The sequence below is a fragment of the Homo sapiens genome, chromosome 9, assembly GCF_000001405.40.
Source record: "Homo sapiens chromosome 9, GRCh38.p14 Primary Assembly".
Classification (NCBI taxonomy): domain Eukaryota; kingdom Metazoa; phylum Chordata; class Mammalia; order Primates; family Hominidae; genus Homo; species Homo sapiens.
Window position 1 is genome coordinate 7,044,136 of NC_000009.12, and position 23,670 is coordinate 7,067,805.

Consider the following 23,670-nt stretch of genomic DNA (forward strand, 5'->3'; position numbering starts at 1 on the left):
AAGTGTCAGTGGGAATGCCTGAGATAGAAGTACCTGAGCCAGGGGATTGGGGATTCTTGTTTGAGGGAGTAACATTTAGGTTGAGATTTCAAGAATGTGTTTAGTTTAATTATTGATGAATGGCGCAGGCTGGCTCTAAAGTGTTCAGGACAGAAGGAACCTCAGGGAGGTCCTTGAGGTGTCTAAACACAGTGAGGCTGGCCAAGACCAAGACCTGATGATTCTAGCCCTCTGAGGCCATATTAGGTACTGAGAAGCATTAAAAACCTTCTCTCATGGGGTTCAGAGTAGCTCTGGGTGGCTATTGCAATAGTTTAGGTCTGGTGAAGGATACTGGGACTATCAGCGAAAGTGATGGCAGTGATGATGGAGAGAACAGGGTGGATTTGGAGGTGGGATTGACAGAACTCAGTTGATTGGATCTAAAGGATGAGAGGAAAAATGTGTCCTCCAATATGAGCTAGAATGGATGGTAGGCACCAATGATGGAAAACAGTCGGGGAGTACAGGCTTGAGAAGAAGATATGAGTTCAGTTTTGCATGTGTGTTTGAGATACCTGTGGCACTGTTAGTCAGACACCTCAGGGAATTAAGGTGTGAGCCATTGGCCTATAGAGAGTGATCGGAATCAGGGTAGTGGATCAGATGCTCAGCAGGCATGTGTGGAGAGAGAAGTAATAGGGCCTATTACAGAAATTCCAGTGTGTGAGGATAGTGAAAGAGAAGCCTGTTAAAGGAAACTGAGGGTCAGCTAGAGGTGCAGGAGGACAATGAGGAGTCTAAGGGTCATGGAAACCACAGGGAGAAAATCTTTCAGGAAGGATCAACAGTGTTGTATGGTGCTAAGAGGTCAGGTGAACCAAGGACTTGGAATTGTCTATTAGATACTGTGACTTGGAGGGGAGGCTAGGAAGAGTGAATATCTTCTTGTGATGGTGGAGAATCTTAAAATCCATTTAAAATCTTGAGCCTACACATTGTATTTTAGAAGACTTTTTCCTCTTGTTAGATTAGTGCTCTAGAACATGTGTACCTGTTAATGATCCTAATCAGGTGCTTTTGAGCAGCTTCCATGCTGCTGCGCTGTATTTGACTTTCCTAACTTGTCCCTTTAGGCTTCTTCTCACTGCTACTTTCATTAATCAGACATCTAATTCTCTTAGAGCCTGAGTGCTTCACAGTCCACAACTCTTTGCTGCATTCCCACTTTGAAACTAACATCTTCATGTATACAACGAAAGTACTTGACCTCAAGTTTTGTTTCCTTTTTCATTCATTCATTTTCTTTCTCACCTCCTCTTTCTCTGTAGAAAGTGTGTTAAATTACTGGAAAAATACCTAAAATTGAGAACTTATAAAATGAACTACCAGAGTTCTCATTTTCAGTATTTGGATTGTGAAATTTTGCTTGTTGTGATTCATCAAAACCAGTTATTCCAAAGGCCTCTAGGATATGGCTTTGTGGTATGGATAGAGAAAATTCTTCATTGAGTTGTTAACTCCTTGAGCTGGGTTTATAATGGATTCAAATCAATATACACAGTGTATCTTTTACTACTCTGAATCCAGGAATTTTCATATAGATTTACAGAGACTTTTCAGACACACAAACCTGTTGGACATTTCTAGTTGTTTGCATTTATTACTGCCTAACAAAAGTTATACAGATACATGATTCTTTCCAGTTGTTTTGGTATCGTTTTCCTCAGAAAAGTAAAAGCTATGAAGTTTCACACCTCATTAATAGTAGATCAGTTAGATGGATTCCTTGTAAAGCTAGGAAAAATTGTCAAAATTTGTTAAGGAACATCACTTTAGTGGACAGGGTAAAGAGGTTTCGTATATAAACTTTGGAGGAAAAAACTCCAAATAACTTCTACCAATTTAAAAAATGTATTAATGCAGAAAATTGAGAGGACAAGCTTGAAACAATTTAGGTCAAGAGAAGGCAGTGCACTGCTCTCTGGTCCTCCTTTTCCTGGTCTTTTTCATGAGAGTGTAGTGAGAAATAACTAATAAAATCTATATTTGTAGCAATTGGAGTCATCTTGGAGTAGAAAATTACATTCTAAGCTAAGACACATAAGAGTGCTGAAAGGTTAAGCTTATGTGGGAAGGATAAAGCAAAACGTTTCTTGGTGCTGTTTTCTCGGGCCGGATAGCTGGGGTTGATCAGGACACTTTTTATAACACTATTTGCCCACAGAAAGAGTGAGGCGCAAGTGTTACTTTGGTGAAAAGAGTATCGTTTAAAAATAGCCTCTTGCTTATCCTTGTAGTAGAAAAAAGCCTGCCCAGACTCCATTCATTAGCCACCCTGTATCCAGGAGTGAATTCCCAGAGCACAAGGCTACACCGTCGTGTGTGCATTCTCTGCTCTAGAATTCTTGCATATACTAGGTGTGTGGACTAGGTTCTCTGGACTGCTAGGTTCTCTGTGTCACAGCTTTCCTTTGATGACAGTGTCAATTTAAAATTATACCAGGTTCATTTCATGATGGTTCCCTCTGGGAGAATTTTATACCCTGAAATTTGAGGGGTGTACCTCTACCATTTCCCCCTCCGCTGTCTTTCTTTTTGAACTTCTCAGAGATAGACCTTCATGTAATTCCTGATGGTTTTAATTTTAGAATGAAAAATCAGGATCTCTGAGAATATTTAGATGAATGGTAATGACTTTTGTTATGTGGGTCTGGTCATCATGTGGTATTTTCTTTTCCCCCCAGGAATGCTGTCTCTGCAATTTGAGAGGAGGTGCTCTTAAGCAAACGAAGAACAATAAGTAAGTAATACATTAATTGTGTTGAATTTCATTATTTTTCTTTCTCCATTCTAGAACCTTTGGATGACAGTTCGCTTTACCTCTCATTGTACACGTGGTTTCAAAGCTTTTGCTGCTCAGATCTGAGGTTGGAATTCTGTGCTTCAGAGACTTCTACTGTTTGCACTCTCATCTCGGCAGGGCAAGAGCAGTCCAAGTTATGCTTCTCTTCTTTGTATTTGACACCATGAAAAATAACCCCTCTTTTACTCACAGAGTTTTGAAAATGGAGTTAGCCCATATCATCCAGGTGCCATTAGAATCCTGGTGTTTAATATGATGAATGCTATTGGTCTGTTAAAACAGGGCATACCTGAGAAAGTGAAACCGTGATCTTCAGATAAATCAGTCATAGCAATGATAATAAAACAAAACCATTTACTTTTTACATTAGCAAATTTATGAGAATGTAAGTGTACTAAATTAGAAAAGATAGGGAGAAAACATTGATGTTAAGATTTAAAGGGATCAGGTGGAGAATATGAAGAGAGTCTTGAAAGAGAGTCATAAGTGAACATAAAAGGAAGGCAGTCTAGTTTTTATGACTGTTCTGCATGGATTTTATTTTTTTTTCATGACCAGGTTTTAATATTGAAAATGGGGCCAAAGCATATTACAGGGTCCGCTGGAATAGAGACATGTCAAAATAACCTGGGCGGATTTTGCAGGCTGGCACTTGAGGGCCAGATTCATGTCTAAGATATGTTTTGTTGGACCCAGGCACCATTTTATAAATTGCATCTAAAATTTAAAATTGAGAGATTTTTACATAAAAATCCAGATTTTCATCTTTAATTGAAAATGATTGTATATCCCTATAAGGCAGTAATAACAAGTTGGGATAGAACCCAGTGTCAGTGGGGCAGGTACTCCTCAGTTCACCATGACTTCCTAGTATATGTGTATTTGCTTACATTCCGCCTGGCCCCCTGGGCACTGGAGTTAGGACTCCTGGTGTAATGTAATGGTGGATTTAGCATAATTCTTTACATGTGCACATGTTTCTGATTGCTGGGAAGGAGGAGTGAAGGTATTTATCATTATTACATTAATAAAATTTGTTGTAAGGAACTGTAGGGTTTGCTTAATTTTTGAAAGAAGATGTTCTTCCACAGTCCTGGTTGATATGATTCGCACTATACTGAAAGTCTTCACTAGTTCTTGGATATTGCACTGGATGCCATACTGTGAGATGGTTTAGGTGGTTCCTGTAAAAACACGGGTGATAAGACGTTCTCTTCCTATGCTTGGACCACAACAAAAAGAAATAGTGTTTTCTGTGGAATGATAGTATTTATTTCGATGTGGAAGAATGCCCTGGTGGGATCGATACTTGTTCTCTCTTCCTGTGGTCTTGAAAGACAGGATAGAGTCTGATACTGTTTGAGTGAAGTAAATATGCTTTGGCTTAAAAATAGGTTGATGGATTTGACAATTCTTTCAAGATCTCTTCAAACCTCATGATTCTTTATATTTATTTTGGGATATAACATTTATGAGACATTTAATAGTATTAACGGGAAAGTTGTCATTTTTCAGAAAGTGAAAAAAGTAGGAAACTAGGGTATGAGATAAACTTCATTTCTTTTTGTCTCTGGGTTTCATTGATTATAGTAAGATTGCAGCAAGAAACAATTTAATTAAAGATTAGCATTAATTCTTTTGGAAAACTTTTGCTACTTAAACAAGTTTGCTTCATGACATTTGTATTATTTTAAAAGGTTGTGTGCTATACCCAGTTCATACCTTTTATTAATTGAACTAATCTTTTGCCACATATTGATTAGCTTAAGTACTTTAAGCACATACATGCATATTCCAGCATCAAATGAAATAAGAAACCCACATTTCAGTATTTTGCAGATCAAGTGTAGAAAAATATGTGCACGTTAATAGGATAGAGTCGTGGGCCTTTATCAGCTCTTCATGGCACAATGTTGTTGGGCAGCTGTGGTACTGAGTCTGTCCAGGTATCATTCAGGAGGTTTACAGTTCAGAATCTGTTTGTGATGGATTTAGGCTTTTGGCTTTCTTGCTCATCTGTGTATTTCCCATCTGTGAGAACTGGCATCACCAAGTTGAAGTATGTAAGTTTAGGGAACTTTTGTTTATGTTTAATGTCTCCTTTCCTGTAGGTGGGCCCATGTCATGTGCGCCGTTGCGGTCCCAGAAGTTCGATTCACTAATGTCCCAGAAAGGACACAAATAGATGTAGGCAGAATACCTTTACAGAGGTTAAAATTGGTGAGTGGCAAAGCTTCTTTTTTACCTCATAAATTAGTGTTAATTTCAAGTTCTGAATTTTTCCATTAATGCACACATTCCCAAGGTATATTTTCTCCTAGCTTTCTTTTATTTTTCTACCCTTATTTTCCTTTAGCCTAAATTTATTTATTCTTACAAATTCTTTTCCTGTTATATTGTAAGTTTGCATATAACCTTCCTCAATTTCTGTCTGAAATGAGGAAAAAGATAGTAATACATTTCCTGAATTAATGTGAACTTTCAAACTATAGGTTATCTGGTAAGATTTGTCAGTACTGGAGCTGAGCCATCTAACTCTATTTAAATTGTTTAGATTTTTCTCTCTTGACTCTCTTTGGTTGGTCTTAACCTAGCAAAATGTATCTAACCTAATTTCATTATCTCTTCACCAAGAAGAGACACACAGAGAAATAAAGAAGCTTTTATTTTTACGAAGATATTTTCTCACTCTTGAATAGGTACAAGTCACTTAATATGCCAAACTCTCTGGCTTGTTCAGAAACTGTGTAAAAATCTTCCCATTGGTTTCTGTTAAGAGCATTTTTCATTGAAAATATAGGCCTTTATTGTCTTTAACATTGAAGTAACTTTGTAGTTTTATTCAATTATGAGCCAGCAGATCCTTAGTTTAGGCCCTTATATTGCATACCTAATTAGAACTTTCCCCAAAGTTCAACTGCATGACCTTAATGTATTGGAGCACGTCTTACAGGTGGACTTAAAACTCTAGAATTTCCTGAGTCGTTGTTATTTTCCACTGAAGGTCTTTCCACTGTACAGCATTTCAGGCATCATCACTATGACTCTTTTTTCTTGACTGTTGCTTGTTTTCCCACTGCTCTTTTCCCCAATGGCGAGCTGGGTGTGCCGTCTCTGGGGCTCTCTTATAGGAACTCACAGTCTAGCCTACTGTATTTTGTTTTCGGAGAAGTGAAAGTGAACACTGTTATTTGCCATCATACCTCCATCAAGAATTTCACTTCACTAGGAAATATATGGGCCTTTCATGGAACTGATGATTACTGTGGCTGATGTGAGTGTTGGGCTTAGGATGCTCAGCATGTGGTAGTTGGAAGTTTTGTAATCTAAGATGGAAATGAGTGGGCCATTTAAATGGCCCTCTAAAGGTCACAGTGACTGTCAGAAGAAGTAAGAAGAGAGTATAATTCTTCAGCTCCTGGACTTCCATAGGAAAGCTTGAAATCTTATACCCAGATTACCAAAAAAAAAAAAAGACACCAAAAAACAAACAAAACGTTTGTAAGAATTAGGACTATAAGATATGATATCCAAAAAAAAGTTGAACTACCACATGTTAAATAATTTAATGTTTGGTGTGACAAATATTAACAAATGTTAACATTTTAATATTTTTTTCTGATTATAAAAGTAATAGATATTTGTCAAAATTCTACACCACCTTTTAAAATCACCTTTGTTTCTGTGTTATTACCAGTGCAGTGCCCCTCAGAAGGAGTAGTCACTGCTCTTGAGGCTGCCTCCACAGGCCTATGTCTTGGCTTCTCTAGTCCATAAGTGCTTCCTTAAAGATTTAACGTTACCCACATCAGTCCCAAAGGGTTTTTGAGAGAACAGCAGGGAAGGGCAGCAGGATTATTTCATCCACATTCAGGGTGTTATATCTAGAAATATCATAATTGCAAGTAAAGATGGTGAAGCTTGTCGCTTTCCTCACAGTGCTGTGCTTCATCTTGATAGTGCATATCACATTTCTCATGGAACATTTCCTTCCTTAAGCAGTCGGTACCTTTAAAAGAGCATGTCTTAACTGAATGTCATTATCACCAAAAGTCTATTCAAATGATAACATAGAGCTATGGTTACAGATGTAAACTGAGATCTGTGAAATATTTTTGGATGAAAATAGCAGCCTCTTGACCAGATTATTTTTCATATAATGTTATATTTATGGAAAGTTTCTTAGAATGATCCTCATCAAAATGCTTGTAGTAGTTATCTTTAGTGGAATAATAATACGAGGAGCAACTTCATTTGGGGGGAAGAATGTCTAAGTTTGTAATAGTTTGACAGGGGCAATGACTGAAAGTCTGGATTCTTTTTCACCAAGAGTCCTCAGGAAGGAATCATCACCCTTGTGAGTCCACTGCAGTCCAGTGTCTGTGCCCCAGTCTTCATTGATGTTCCATGGTGATCAGACTCAGAGAGGATGGCTTTGAATAATACAATTTACTTATGTGGGGAATGAAACGCACCTTTCCAGGGAATAGGATGCTCTGCCTGTATGTCGTGTTAAGGGTACACTTTCCTGACATAGGCATTCTTCTGAAGTTTAAATGGTAACCTAACAAGTTCATGGCCGGCAGGAAAGCAGAGTAGTTTTGTGTGGTATTTCATCCAGGCAAAAGTAAGTCCAGGTAAGCTATTTTATTCTGCCTATTTCATAAATATATATGTGTCTGCCAGTGTCAGTTTCAATATTTTTTTCTGGAGCTGTGGGCATTCCTTTTCTGAACTCTAGACTGTCCATTCTGCCTTCCTCTTCATACAACTGGAAAATAATAAGAATTATTTAGATGTCATAATCAATTTATTTCACCAAACAATTATCACTTGTCTTGCCATGTAGTATACATTTTTGAATCAGACACAGTTTTTGTTCTGTCAACCTTGGCATTACTGACATTTTAGAGCAGATAATTCTTCGTTGTGGAGGACTGTCATGTGCATCATAGGATTCCAGCAGCCTTCACCAAACAGGCATTGCCAGCTATCCCCTGGGAGGCAAAATCACCCTCATTTAAGAATCCACGGGTCTACAGCGAAGATATAGACAGAAAGAGAACATTTTCAATATTTGTCATTTTTAGAGAATATCTTGGTTGGAAGAACTGAATTCAAGACTGACAGAACAGAAATTGTTAAATGTTTTTAAAAACAAACCTGGATTTTTTTCTTTTTTCAAATCCAAATTTCTTTTTTGTTAGCAAAGCAATAAAGTCTGGTAACATGTGCATATCAGCTACTATATACTTATTAATTATATAATCTCATTTAACAATTTAACATTACCTGTTCTTATGGAAATTGAACAACCAAATTGAATACTAATCAAGTTTCACCTAAGATTAAAATTCTGTGATGTATGTGTATATGCACATAGTAGTCACTGAGTAAATATTTATGAAATGAATAAAAGGCAGCAAATCATTATTCATTATTTGCACGTCAGGCTTATAATGACTGTGGCTGGAGGAGTGCGATCAGACAATAACAAATGGCCTTTGCCTTTCCACGGTTTCTCCTTTAAATGTAACAGATCTAATTCACACACATGTCTGCATATTGCTCTAAAGCAAGGCATTACTTTACTTATCTGCATCACAGGAGACATATGATTAAATTGTAGAGCCCAGCAGTACTCCAGAGAGCCTATGAAACATGCATGCAGTACTCATCTTGTTGGTTGAAAATTCTGATCTTGGAACTTCTGGTCAGCTGGGGATTGAAAATGAGTGGACAAGTGGTTCATCCCTGAAGCAGCAGCAAGGGCTGCATCTCTTCAGTACCCACGAGGTGGTGCTGCTGCACCAGTTTCTTATGTTGCTCTTAAACTACCACCTCCCTTCTCTAGTGCCTAACCAGAGCTCTGGCCACACCTGCAGAGAGAGAGAGAGAGAGAGAGAGAGAGAGAGAGAGAGCGAGCGAGTGCCCAAGGGATGACAATAGAGCATCGAAAGTACTGCTCGTGATGCATTCAAAGTGTTGAATTCCAAAGGACAGTTTTTTAGTTTAGTTTTTCATTTAACTGTAGAAAAAGAGCTGCTGTCCCTTGGGGCAAGTTAGAGTTTTTCTGAATAAGTAATAAACAACACTAGTATAAAGCTAGTAACTGCAAGAGGCTAATAGAATGACTGGTGGGCAAGCATAAGTTTAAAATGTCTTCCATTATATGAAGGCTGTTTATTTTTAAAATGCTCATTATTAGCAGTCTTTCTAGAATATGAAATACTGGAATTTATGCAGAGGTATTTGAATATTTTGGTAACACTATTGTTAGTCGTTTATTTATTCAGAGCTTCAACCTACAGCTTTTGAAAAGCTCCTCTGGTAAATTATTCGTGCAAGGAGAATTTTGTGGCGGATACAGGAAAGGATTTGTTTACTTGAGCAGATTTTTTCCTCTTATGTATAATGGCCAGTTTTTAAAAAATGACAACTAATGGAAAACAAGCCTTTTGGTGCTCTTCTGTGGATTTATTGATCCTAAAATGGTGTGTGCTTCATGGAGATCCTTTAGCTCATCCAGCCACCTTGCTTGGTAATGTCACAGGTGTGGCCTTTGTTCATCATACAATTAAATGGACAACAATGATGACATTAGACTTATTTTCAAGACATTATATTTTCTTTTATTTCTGTGTCCAATTTTAAATACTTTAATAATTAACTTTTAAAAACCTAAAACATTTTAATGAAAAATAAGTTTGGCTGTAGTGGTCTCCATCCAGTTAAATTTGTTCTTTCTTTCGTTTTCTTTAACAATATTTCACTTTTGTGTAATTATTAAAGTAATTGCTGCCCCAGCTAAAAAAATGCTACAGGTTGCTATCCAAAACTACCGGGTTATTAAGTAGAGTCATCCTGTTACAGGGCAGAAATGAAAATGCTAACAAATCTTAAGAAATGAAAAGTTAGCTGAATGGGCTAAAGACTTCATATCCAAAAGGGAGAACCAGTTTCCCTGTCAGCTTCAGCATTCTTCTGATATTTAATGCAGGTTTTATATTATGTAGTATTTTTATTACCTGTCCATTAGAATAAATTGCTTTGCTTCTGAATGACTTTACTGTATGGGAAAAGTTATCCTTGTGGCAAGTCCTATTACTGCAAACCCCTTCCCTGTGCCCTGCAGCACCTTCTCTGTTCACCAAAAGAATATGTGAGGATTGGCACTTTGTAGGATAATAGGAGGCTACTGAGGACGTTTCCTTCTCCCCGTAGCCCATCTAGGGGGTTGTGTGAAGTCACAGGTGATTGGTGTGCCTGAGGACTGAAAGAAAAAGAATTGACCCCAAGTGGTATAGATTTAGAATTTATTCAGAATTTTTTCCTTTTCTTCTTTCTTTCTTATTTTCTCTACTAGTATGATTGATTGGCCGTAGTCATAAGTGAATCTCTGGAAGAAGAACAAAATTGTGCACAGACAAAAACAAGGGAACATAGAGATATATAAAACACACATTAAGACAGAATGGCCTATTTTGTTTTTACAATATAAAAATGATCAGGAAGAAGGATTAAGGATGGGACTTTAGAGATAACAAATGATGTTTTTATGGTATCACACAGAAGGAAGAAGGCGGTAGGGTTTGGAGACAGATCACTGTAAAAATCTTAGATTTGATTATAAAATTTAAGAGAAGGACATTTTAAAAATCTAGCAAAAGGAGTTAAAAAGAAGTATGGATTTCTGGTAGTTGCTGTATGTTTACCATGAATGTTTATTGTATACATTGATCACTTCCTGCAGCTTAAATTAATTAAAGATCTGTGGTATTTTTGTAAATAAGCCAGCAGAGCAGGTTTGTGGGTTTTAAGAAATCTTAGGAAGTTGTAGCAGATCCTAAATGCAACTATTAGTTTTAAATACTCTATTTGGAGATAAAGTTTTCAAATAGGACTGTTGTATGAATATTTAAATATTAAATCACATCTTTCAATGCAGCGGATGTCTGTTCTGATTGCTGTCATTGCATAACAAACTTAGCATTGAGACCATCCTGGCCAACATGGTGAAACCCCATCTCTACTAAAAATACAAAAATTAGCCGGGTGTGGGTGGTGCATGCTTGTAGTACCAGCTGCTCGGGAGCCTATCGCAGGAGAATTGCTTGAACCTGGGAGGCGGAAGTTGCAGTGAACCGAGATGGCGCCACTGCACTCCATCCTGGCGACAGAGCAAGGCTACGTCTCAAAAAACAAACAAACACAAAAAATTTGGCATTGTTCATGGGTCACAAATGCATCCGTCCTCACAGTGGTGTAGCACAGTGCCTTTGGTTTCTATGTCTTTAGACCTTTCTAGGACTTTTACATTTGAAATCCTATTTCTGCAACCAAATAGAGGGAGAAATGAATTTTGGAATAGCAGGATTTGCCCCTGGGCATTCGATGACCTCTGATTTGTGTTTGACAAGTGAACAAAGCCCAGGCACAAGTGTTCTCTGAGTGAAGAACATTATTTTGAAAAGGAATTTACACTACAATGATGACTGAGCTACAAGCCTTTCCGTGTCTGGCTGAGACCATACTATTCTGCTTAGAAGCCTCTGTACACTTTAAAATTTGTACCTGAAGGCAAATAATAGTGAACCTGCAAGCCAAAGATTATAGTTTTGAAAGGTATATCAATTCTGAAAATAGAGTGGTTTCACTGTGGTATTCCATCTCAAGAGTTGAATCAAGGGGGAGAAAATACAATCACACTTCCTATTTCTTAGACGAAGGCGCATGTTCTCTTGCCAACTGACTCATGTTATCAGATATACTGAATACTAAAAATAGAATTATTGAGAGGTAGAGATAGGGTCTGCCTCTTGTGCTGTAAGATCACTCAGAGTTCTATTTAGTTAATGTTACAGCAATGTTCGTGAGCAACTTGGCTTTCTTTCTGAAAGAATCAAGGTTGTATTTGACAGGGCCTCTGTTAATGCATTTTAGGAAATGTAAAGACATATTGATTATCTTTCATCATGCTAAAAGAAAAGAAGTAGTGTCGTAAAGGCAATCAGAAAAAGTCAGTATGTTCCACATTAACTCATGTACCGATTTATTCATAGGCTCAGGTATTTTTAAAGACAGAGAAGTTCTAAGAAAATAATAAACATTGACAATGATGAGAAAACTTATTGCTTAAACAGTAATCAGTAGTGTTAATGTGCACAAAAAGTGCTTTGAATAGTGAACTATTCTAAAGGAGGAGTAAGAGGTACTATACTACAGATGACACGGTTGTGGTATGGTATGTGGTGTCTTATTATTTAACACGGCCAGTATAAAATTATATAACATCATTAAGATAATGTTCTTCAGGATTTCAACATACATATGTCTCCAGCTTTGTAAGGTTTTTAAATAAGTGTAGTGCAAAAAAAAAAAAGTACATTAGTAGCTGTATAGTACTTAACTGTCAGAATGATTTGCTACAGGGACTAGATCCTATTGCAAGCTGTCAAATTTGTATATTGCTGTAATACCAAACCATAAAATCTTTTGAGTAAAATGGAAAATGTCAGATGGGCATGGCTACAAATAATATACTTTCTGAAGGCTGTAGATGTCTATAGGAGAAAATGTGTAAATGCATGAAATGTTATCTTGTTACTATGGATTTTTCTTTATCTGTTGAGAGAAAAACTGTGAGACAAAAGGAAATTGACTGGAGCCTTTAAATTTTCAGTTTTGAAGTCATTTTTTCCTGAGGGCTAATTTTAAAAACATTATTAGACAGGTGGGACTTCAGATAATTCATGATTAAAGAGTATTGTGAAAAAGTAATCTTATTTTCTAGCTTGCATTGACGAATGCTCCATTTTTTTCTGATCTTGTCTGTGTGAGTAGTGATTACTGACAGATCTTTTAATTGAGTGAGTGAGCCAGGTTGGAGTTTCAGAGACAGGGTCATTCCTTTCACTCTAGTACTGCCTGGGTCAATACCAACAAACACATGCCAAACCGAGGCAGCTGTTAGACAGCTCTAAACAATCTGTAGGGTTTTGCTTGGTCAACAGTGATTGAAAGCAAGAGAGGTTATAGTTTTGGAAAGGTACGGTCATTATTGTGTAACAATGAATTCATTATTCTTTGTTTTTCTGAGAAGAAGGGGGTCAGGAATTAGTTACTTTTCTTTGTTTCATATTTTAATATAAATTAGGTTATTCATTTCCTCAGAAGGGTGGGTTTTAAAAATCCACAAAGAAAGCTTTTTGTGTAAAGTGAGAACATTTTCATACTTGGAGTTAGAATTTCACTGTGGTATATTTTAGGTGTGGTCCCACAATTAAGTGAAGTCTTTATCTAACATGAGCTCCTGGTTAGACACAGATACTAGGACTGTTTTAGCCAGCCATGGGCTGGATTTATTGATCTCAATATCAAAGTTTCTCTGCATTCATCTATATCATGCTTTAGATCACATAATTATAAGAAGCCTCCCTTAGGTTGAGATGGAGAGTACAGGCTCTGGGTTAAGACTGCCTGAGCCCTGTATCCTCCACTTGGGCAACCTTGGCTATGCAGATTAACCCTCTGAAGCTCATCTGTAAATTATGGTGATTGTGAGGATGAAATGAAAAAGTTAACAGTCTGACACAGAGTTTGCACTCAAAGAACGTTAGCAATATTAGCTGTTATTCTCTTAAGTGATTTTTCCCCCTTTATTTTTATAACACTGTTAAGAACATAACTGTATTTTAAACAGCCTCTGGGCAATTTGTAAGCAACAGGAATTTTCTTTGAATGGAGGCCTGTTAAACTGGCGTGTTCTGTCATCTCCGAGGGAGCAGGGCATAGAAGGGCTCTTCTGCAAACGTCTGAGATTCCACCAACTTCCCCTGCAGTTATTGCTGAAAACCGTAAGATGAATAGGTTGATGTTCTCTAAAACAGAAGTTCAGAGATACAGCTCTTGCTTCATTTTGAGCACGGACATCGCATGTTGAAAAGCGATCTTGTTCAGGACGGTTTTGCTAAAAATGCCATTTCCTTGCATGGTACAGCTGGGAGTCTTCAGCAGTTTGGGGCCTAGAGAATGACTATGACCCATGAGTACTGTTATTTACCAGGATACCCTCTCATCTATTTCTGGCTTTTTCTCCACCTTCTTGTAGAGGAAATGAATTCGACAATCTCTCAGAAGGCATTGGGATTCTTTCAAAGCACAGGGGCCAGCAGTCAGAAGAGTTCAGTCTCTGCTATGGTGTCTTTTGGCTGAGCCATTTTGCCTTTGGGGGATAAATCACTGTTTGGAACAGAGCTGTGGTTCTCAAAATGTGATCAGCATACTGTTTCCAACCCTTTTCAGACATCCTAAGGCATTGAATTTTAGACTAACGATGCAAGTGCAACGGCTGGTAAAGCTACTGATGTGGCAGTAAATAAGAAGCAGCTCTCCTAGGAAAGGGGAAAAAAGCCCCTCATTTGTTGTGTTTGCACATTTCATTGGTTGAAATATTCTCACCGTGTCCAGTTTCAAACTACCAATATAATGTGAACCAACTCTCAAAATTCTTGAAGATCTAGCAGTCGCTCTCAGGAGCTTGTACAAGCTTGCTGCAGCTCACTGTTGAAAATGGCTGGCACTTACCATACATCAAACCAAGGCATCAAATTGCACTAGTAACCATTGTATTCTCCAATGCCAGGCATCTGGCATTAAAAAAAAAGCCAGTTTCACTTAAGAAGGTCCTTGAAATTTAAAATGGTTAATTATATTAAGTCTGGATTCTTGAACATGTGCCTTGTTTACATTCCGTGTGATACGATAGGAAATACTTAGAAAGCACTTCCACTGCCTGCTATAATACATCATGGCCTTGAGGTAAAACATTTTAGTGATAGTTTGAGTTGCATGCTGTACTACCAGTTTTTTCATGCAACCTTTTTTTTTTTCTATAATGAATGCCAAGCAATCATTACTTTGATTTGTGTATTTGGCAGACATTTTCTAAAAAGTGAATGACAAGATTTGTTGCCTGTGAAAGAATTTGAGCTTTCTACATGAAAACTGGAATTTTAGAAAACTTGTATCCATCAGTGTGATAATTTCCCAGTACTTACAGGCTTTTTAAATGAGATTAGTGGTGATATTAATTAATGTAGACTTTGATATTTTGTAATAAAATGTGCCAACATTTGGAAGATTGGTGTAACTCAGTGACAGTATTTTGTATTTTTTGTTTGTTTTTGGAGCAGGGTCTTGCTCTGTCACCCAGGTGGGAGTGCAGTGGCGCCATCATGGCTCATTGCAGCCTGTATCTCCTGGGCTTAAGCGATCCTCCCACCTCATTTTTAAATTTTTTTGGTAAAGATGAGGTCTGATTGTGTTGCCCAGGGTGGTCTCGGGCTTCTGGGTTCAAGCAGTCCTCCCGCCTCGACCTCCCGAGTAGCTGGGATTACAGGACTAAGCCACCGCGCCTAGCCCTCGAGAGTATTTTCGAAATGATGAATGCATGATGTTACCAAATTATGCCTGGGCAAACTATCTGTTACAAATGCCTGATAGACTAGTGGATTTTAAGCTACTGCAGTACATGGTATGAAAAGTTCATTACCTTTAGGAACTACCATTGAAGTTTTGGTGAAGTATCATGAAGAATGTCCATGATTATCTGGAAAGGTTATTAAAATACATCTCCTTTTCCAAGTATTTATGTGTGTCAAACCACATAGTCTTCATATACTTCAACCAAACAACATATTACAACAGACCAAATGCTAAAGCAGATATGAGACTCTAACTCTCTTTTATTAAACTGGGCAGAGATTGGCAAAAATTTAAAACAACGCCACTCTTCAAGCTGTTTTCTTTTTGTTTTAGAAAATATGGTTATTTTCATAAAAATATTTTACTATGTAATGGGTTTGTTATTTTTAAATGAATTCATAAATATATATTTTTAAAAATTTCCATTTTTAATTTCTAATGTAAAAAATATTGTTAGATAAAACCCACATAAATAGAAGTTTTTTGTGATCCTTAATAACGTTTAAGAGTATAAAAGAGTCCGGATACCAAAAAGTTTGAAAACCACTGGAATAGAGAGAGGATCCCCTCATAATATAGTATCCTTTCTTCTTCAATCCAGTGTTCTCACATTCCTTGCAATGATTTTGTTTGTTTATTATTTATGATATCCTGTAACTTATCAGGTGGAAGGGAATAGTTCTGTCCTCCACCATTTTAGGCACATGGCCTTTGCTTTCTCTTGTTCCTTATTTTATGTCATTGTCATGTTTTTTTTTTTTTCTTCTTCTTACTGGCAAGAACGTGGAGAACAGAGGAGAGGGACAGCTATTGCATACTGTCTGTGTACCTTGTTACATATTTGAGTTTATTGATTTCTAACTGCTTCCTATGAATTTAATTTGAAACTGTTAACTGTTCTTCTCCCTCTCCCTTGACCCAGTAGCTCCTAGGATAGTAGTGTTAATACTAATTCTAAATCAGGGATGACTTTTTAGCAGTATTGTTGTTATTATTATTATTATTATTATTATTATTATTATTATTATTATTTTGAGATGGAGTCTTGGTCTGTCACCAGGCTGGAGTGCAGTGGTGCGATCTCGGTTCACTGCAACCTCCGCGTCCCGGGTTCAAGTGATTCTCCTGCCTCAGCCTCCTGAGTAGCTGGGACTACAGGTGCATGCCACCATGCCCAGCTAATTTTTGTGTTTTTAGTAGAGACAGGGTTTCACCATGTTGGCCAGGATGGTCTCAAACTCCTGACCTCGTGATCCGCCTGCCTCGGCCTCCCAAAGTGCTGGGATCATAGGTGTGAGCCACTGTGCCTGGCCAGGATTTTATTTCTTAAAGGAGTAGACTTTTGATGTAGCAGTTGCGTGGGCATGCATATTTGTTTTAGATTGTTTAGAGATGGTTTACATTGTCAAGTCCTTCTGCAGGTTATAATGTGAAAGACAGCTGTTCCTCTTCCCCTACTGTCCTTACTTCCCTTTCCTCAAAGGAAACCAAATTCAACCATCTTTGTCTGTCTGTATCTCTCAATCTGTCCGCCCATCCATCTCTTTATTGTCATTTGCCTCTAAAGAGCTAAATAATATGCCTGTATTTACTTTGTTTTTTAGTCTCAAGCATGACCTATGACACCTTATTTTGGAGAGGGGAAGATTTAGCTCAATTTGCTTCGGTCAGTTGCACTATACAGATGTGTCCTTCTTCTCCCTCCAGTAGTGTTCCATGTATTTTACATACAGTGGTTGGATAGGTAATTGAGGGTTTATGTTATTATTGCTTTGTAAACACAATTTATTCATAGTTGAGCCATGCTTACATCTCCTCAAGATATTCAGATACACCAGGATGCATATCAATTTCATGTCCTTTGAGAAACCTGTCCCGGAATCTTCTGTCCCGTTACAGTTTTTGACTGCCTGTCATCTACCTGATTTGGTGTTTACCTTCCATGAGGCTGTCCTTGGATGTCTGATAATCCTTGGTTGCTTGCCCATTTTTAATAACGGGAGCTGAGCAGAAGCCTGGTGCTGGTGGGTTGGGTCGGATAGTTAACTTGAAATATTATGATCTGGCTGGGCATTTTATTGGGAAGAGATACTGGTCAGGTTCTCTAGAGAAGACTCGTCCAGTCTCCAGACTGAAGGGTAAAAGCCTGGCTGTGGGCTCCTCAGAGCCCAATGAGGCAGGAGGGCAGGTGGTCTCAGTGCTCCTTAGGGAAAAGGTCAGTAAGTCCACTTTTTTCCCAATATCGACTCTACCCTCAGCAATGGCTAGTGTTCCAGAGACCCTCTTTTACTGGCTCTGAGAGTAAACCTTCAGGTTTTTTTCTTATTTTGTGGCAGTGGAGTTGCCTAATTTCATAGACTGAAGAAGGAGTCTGGGAAACTAACCTCTTGTTCAGCGGCTTTCAGCCAGTTCTCCGTACATTACCCCTCACCCTAATTTCAGCACTTCCAGAGACACCTGGTATCACCAGTATCTTTGGCAAGTCCTGGAGTATGAATGGTCTGGTTCTGGCTTTTCTTGAGACAGAGTCTGTCTCTGTTGCCCAGGCTGGAGTGCAGTGTTGCGATCTTGGCTCACTGCAAGCTCCGCCTCCCAGGTTCACGCCATTCTCCTACCTCAGCGTCCCAAGTAGCTGGGACTACAGGTGCCTGCCACCACACACTGGCCAATTTTTTGTATTTTTAGTAGAGACGGGGTGTCACCGTGTTAGCCAGGATGGTCTCGACCTCCTGACCTTGTGATCTGCCTGCCTTGGCCTCCCAAAGTGCTGGGATTACAGGTGTGAACCACTGTGCCCGGCCACTTTTGGCTTTTTTATTTTGCCTTCTTAGGATGCAGCTTTCTCAGTTTTGCTGAAGTTGTCACTTGTCTTACTTTCTAGCTTCCAAAATTTTCTTTACTTTGTGTTTTCTTTCCTTTCTTTTTACTTGTTTATTTTTGAGACAGGGCCTTGCTCTGTTGCCCAGGCTGGAGTGCAGTGGTGCAGTCATGGCTCACTGCAGCCTTTACTTCCTGGGCTTAAGTGATCTTCCCACTTCAGCCTTCTGAGTAGCTGGGAATACAGGTTTGCACTACTATTTCCAGCTAATTTTTTTTTTGTCAGGGTGGGGTCTTTCCTTCTTGTCTAAGCTGGTCTCAAACTCCTGGGCTGAAGTGATCCTCCTACCTTAGCCTCCCAAAGTGCTGGGATTATAGGCATGCGCCACCGTGCCCAGCCCCCTTTTTTTTTTCCCCACCATTTGAACTTACAGAATTATTCCCTTTACTGTTTTAAGGGAATCTGTGGAAGGGGTGAAATTAGATTTGTGTGTTTAGTTTTGCCTTTTAACCCAGAAATTCCATGAAGTGACCATTGATGTTTTTGATACGGGGACACAATGCTATTGACTTCTTTTTTTCCACTTTGAGGAGGAATTGACTTCTGAAACTATTAGAAATATAAACTAATTTTTCCCTTATTTTAGGAGTAATTACAGAATATATATGAAAATTATGGAAAACTAGACCTAAGAAGCACAAACTTTATGAAACTCTTAATTAAATTTTTGTATAAATACACTTTAATTTCTTAAAACTAGAGAAAATGTTTCTGTTTATGGATATAAATAATTATGGAAATGAAATAGCATTAGCAAAAAATAGAATTTGCCACATATCTTTAGTAAAATAATGTATCATAACCATGAGATTTTGGTACCGTATGTAAGAGATAGTTTTGGGGACCAAAGTAGACAAAAAAATTCTAATTGCTTTCAGTTCTGGATTTAGTAAATTAAATATTTTAAATTAAATTAACTGAAAATATTGCTTGCGAGTGAACATTTTTGCTGTCTCAACATTTTGATGTCTAACAATTTATGGAAGATACCAGCTTGACTGTGACTGTCACTTCCCCATAAGAACAAAGAGGTAAATTCATTGCCGATGGCTAATGACCAACAGTTCTTTGCAGCATAAATTCCTATAAGCTCTTGTTTGGTCTGTCAGGATCAGAGCAGATTAATGTTTTTAAGGAGGGAGCAGAATTCCTGGTGGTCTCTCACTTGTTTATTCATTTATTCAATAAATATTTATTGAGGACTTAATATGTAGTTAGGTGATAAAGTTACTTGCTTTCTGGTCTTAACGATATTACAGGGTAATGGAAGTTATTGAAATTTAAACAGACAATTGCACAGCAGTGTGAAAAGTTTTATTATTGTAAAAATGCAAAATGTAGTGAAGGACCTTACTAGATTTGGGCATGAGACTTAGCAGTGTGGGACAGTAGAAAAACTTTCTGGAAGAAACAGTGCCTAATAATGCCTAATCTGAGCCCTGGAGAGCTAGCTGGGAGGGAGGGTTCAGAAGAATGAACAGCATGCTCTGTGGCCTGGCAGTGGAGAGAACTGTAAGGTCTAGGAACTGAAATTTCAGTAGAGCTGGAGCGTGAAGCATGAAGAGGGAGCTCTGAGTCTCAAGAAGTTCTAGGTTCTAGGAAGCCTCCCGTCTTTTGGAGCTGTGCTGTCTGTGTGGTGACTGCTGGCTGCTTACAGCTACCCTGCGCTTGGAATGTGTCAGTGTTACTGAAGAACTGAATTTCAAATTGTATTTAACTTTAAATTTGCTATGTGTAAAATCTGAAGCAGCTACATTTAAAAACTGAAGCACTTTAGATACAACTATAGTTTTGGTAGGCCTACCTTTCACATGTAACCACCCTTAAACATTTAGTATCCGAACTGAGATACGTTATAAGTGTAAATACACAGCAGATTTCAAAGACTTAGTATGAAAAAGGATGTAAAATATCTCACTGATTATTTTTATATTGTCAATATGATATTTTAGATTTATAAGATTAAAGTAAAATGTATTACTAAAATCAATTTTGCCCTTTTCTTTAAAGTTTTAAAATGAGCCTCCTAGAAAAATTTTAAAAGATGCATAATGTGGAGTATGGTGGCTCACCATGTTGGCAGCAAGGTCAGTTTCAATAGTCAGGTGAAAGATGATTTTAGCATGAACCTAGGTTGGAGAGAAATGAATTGATACGAGGCAGGGTTGGTCAGGCTTGGTGAATACTCAGTCACGTTATGGAGCACGACAGAATAAAGCCAAGGTCCTGGCATAAACAGCTGGGTGATTGGTCCTGCAACGTGCAAGGCTCCTCAATACTGGGAGAGGCATAGGGTTTAGTGGGAGGAAGTATATATTGGACTTTCTTAATTTGAGGTCCTTGTAGACCATCTGGGTGTGGCTCAGAAGAGCGATATGCTAGGGGGTTAGAATCTTACTGCTCCTAGGTATGTAGTTGTTTAACAGAGTGCTCTTAGGTTAATAGTGACTGAAGGTATGTGATGTTCAGTTATTATTATCAGGGGACAGTGAACAACTGTCTTCTTCTAGGTGTCCATTTGGCCAGTGATGATAATGTATCTATCACCCCATTCCCCTTTTGAAGTATAATAATCAAGTGAGACGACGTAAGTTCTTGAAGTCTCTTGTATATTCTCTCTTAGAATAAAGAGACTTAAATAAATTGAAAACAAACACAAGACCAGAAGGAAGTCCAGTGTTCTAGTGAAAGATAAATGTGTCCTACAGTCAATCAAAACATAATCTAACACCGGGATTTTGTTGCCAAGATGTGTGGCCACCTATCAAAGGGAATTTGCATTAAGAACTACACAGAATTTTGTCAAACCCATGAAAATGAGTTTATTTCGGAATCCCTTTTAGTTTTAAATTGAAGTCTTCTTTTCACTAATAGTTTTCTGAAATGAAACTTCCTTAAAACAAAATTTTAAACTATGGACTTTTTTTTTCTGTTGGGAATATAAAATATATTCCATCTTTCTTTAATAATAAAATGTTTTACTTAAATAAATGGAAAAAGTAGTCAAATAAATTGACTACTTTTCATTACAGGAATAGCGCTTAAGGTTAATTAAAACTTTCAAATTTTTTTTCCTAGAGCCATCTGTTGCTTATAATTGAATTTAGAAAGTCATCAGTTTTAAACATTTATTTGCTTTGGACAAAGCAAAAAAGTATGGTCATGAAATATTTTTACTAAATAGCAGACATATTTCCGCAAAAAGAATCATGACATTCTGGCAAAGGTATAATTTTAATAGACTAATGAGCTTTCTGACCAGAGCTGACTGAGCTTCATCTGATTTTTACAATGATGAATTGACCGTGTCAAAATTTGCAGTGTAGTCCAGTGAAATATTTTACTATGAAAGTTTAATTCTCATTTTTTATTTATGAAAGCAGTGGTAGTGTCAGAGCAGCTTATAATATGCTGGCCATTTGGTATGATTTATTTTAATAAGTGTCACTTGTTGATGCATTTAGTGATTGTTGACCCATATTTAATTCTAAAAACTCTAAATAGTGTGAAATGTAATAAGTCAGTGACTGTAGTTTGAAAAAGCAAAAGACAAAAAATTGTGATCCGCAGGTCTTTTCCTAGCTTTCACGATGTCACAGTTCTATATTTGACACCTGTTGCTTTGCGGACAATGGAGGGGTAACAGCTTTAAAAAAAAAAAAAAAACTGTAATTGAGATCCGCATAAAAATATTTCTGTCACAAAGCATATATTTGAAATATAATAAAATCATCTTCATTACATCAGTTGGGGATTCCAGCTTGTCATCATTTTAATGGTTTTGAGAAAAATTATAGAATAAAGGTCACTTTTTTCTTTCATTCATTTATCAGTTTTTTATTTAATAAATACATACAGAGCTGATCATGGTGGCTTGCATTCAATGACAGGGGCATAAGATGGACAGGTCATCCCTCTCATGGGATTTACATTCCAGAAGGATGTATGGTATCCCCCTCTCCACCCCGCAAAGGATTTAGATGAAGATTTTACAGAACTTTCAAGGATGTCATTTGTTCTTTTGGTAGTTTTGGAAGGCACAAGAGAAGGGCTAGAATAAAGCCCTTTTTCTCAGGTATTTCTTTACAGAGATATAATAAGCATTTCTGTTTCCTAATGTCAGGATATTTACATAGTATAGATCATTTAAACAAATATACTCTTCCAAATAGCAATAGTGTATGTTTTTCAGATATGATGGAATTATTTTAAGATCATTTTAGAAATGACAATAAACATGTTAAATCAAAATTTTAATTTTTATAGTGGTATTTGTTAACATAAAATTTTAAATTATTCAGAGCTCAGAGGAAAATGAAATATCTGTGAGTCATGAAACACTATGCATTGTAGTACTGCTCCAAATACTATGATGTCTTGGAGTTGTTTTTTGTAAATAATGCAGGGATTATATTGTTGTTACTTGTTTTAATGTACACAGTAAAAGGCATAAACTGAGTAGTGCTGCAGATATTTGCTTTAAAGTTTCTCTAGGAAGAAGCCATCCAGAGATAATTATCTTTTGATATTATCCTCTTCTTACGTTTCTCAAAGCAATTCATAAATATTTTTTGTATAAGAATATGAACATTACAGAGCTGTTTATTTGGCAGGTCAACTTAAAAACAAGAGGGAATCAGTGGCCCAGATATTTTTGGAAACAACAAGGAAATTTATATATTTCTCTAAGAATCCTATTTTTCATAATTAGAAAATGAAGGAACCAGCAACACAAAATCACTCCTTTTCCTGGCAGTCCTAGCACTGAATATATGTGCATTTTCAGGCTTCTCAATTTAGCTGGGCAATCACCATTTAATTTCAAAACTCCATTTATCTTAGTGATAGCCTTTGAACTATTGACTCTCTTTTTCCTGTGTATGACAGTAGTATCACTTTTGTGCTTTTAGCCTCAGGCTGATATGGGGGACCCCTTCTTCCTATAGCTGTGGTGCATAACATAACCACAACGTACGTTCTGCATAGATAAAGCACAACAGTTTTTGTAACTTCAGCTTGCTGTACATGTGGCGGGTGGCAGCCCACCTGCATTGGGGAAAGCAAACGAGCAAGCAAGATGTGTTTGTCCTTGATTACATTCTATTTCTCTGAGAAATGTTCCACTTAAATGACAGACCAAGCTCAGAGTTTAGGTTATCAGCCTGAGACATACAAGGTGCAGGGCAACTCCAAAGGAGGTAAGGCTCAGTTGCACTGTTAACTGTGACTTGCTTATTTGAGGTTAGAATTCAAATATATAGATCATGTTAAGACTCTTGGTCTTTATTTTTATATTTTATTTTCAAAGGCCTGTTGTTTTAGTTACAAAAGTAACATGCTTATCTTCAAAATATTTTTAAAAACCGAAGTGTATAAAATCCAAAATGAAAGTCGTCTTTAGCTCCATGCCACTTCACAGAAGTAATCATTGTTAACATATTGGAGTAATGATTTTTGACTT

At 37.4% G+C, this 23,670-nt stretch overlaps 1 protein-coding gene across 21 annotated transcripts in view; it reads left to right on the forward strand.

Annotated features, from left to right (window-relative positions):
• KDM4C (lysine demethylase 4C) overlaps nucleotides 1-23,670 on the forward strand; it is a 454,786-nt gene that overhangs the window by 323,273 nt on the left and 107,843 nt on the right. For 15 of the 21 annotated variants that reach the window (NM_001146696.2, NM_001353999.3, NM_001354001.3 and 12 more), the window contains 2 exons: nucleotides 2,727-2,782; nucleotides 4,957-5,065. In NM_001146696.2, coding sequence (NP_001140168.1) covers nucleotides 2,727-2,782; nucleotides 4,957-5,065 — 165 coding nt within the window. The remainder of the gene's footprint in view (nucleotides 1-2,726; nucleotides 2,783-4,956; nucleotides 5,066-23,670) is intronic. The other 6 variants (NR_148680.3, NR_148679.3, NR_148677.3 and 3 more) reach the window with 1 other exon arrangement.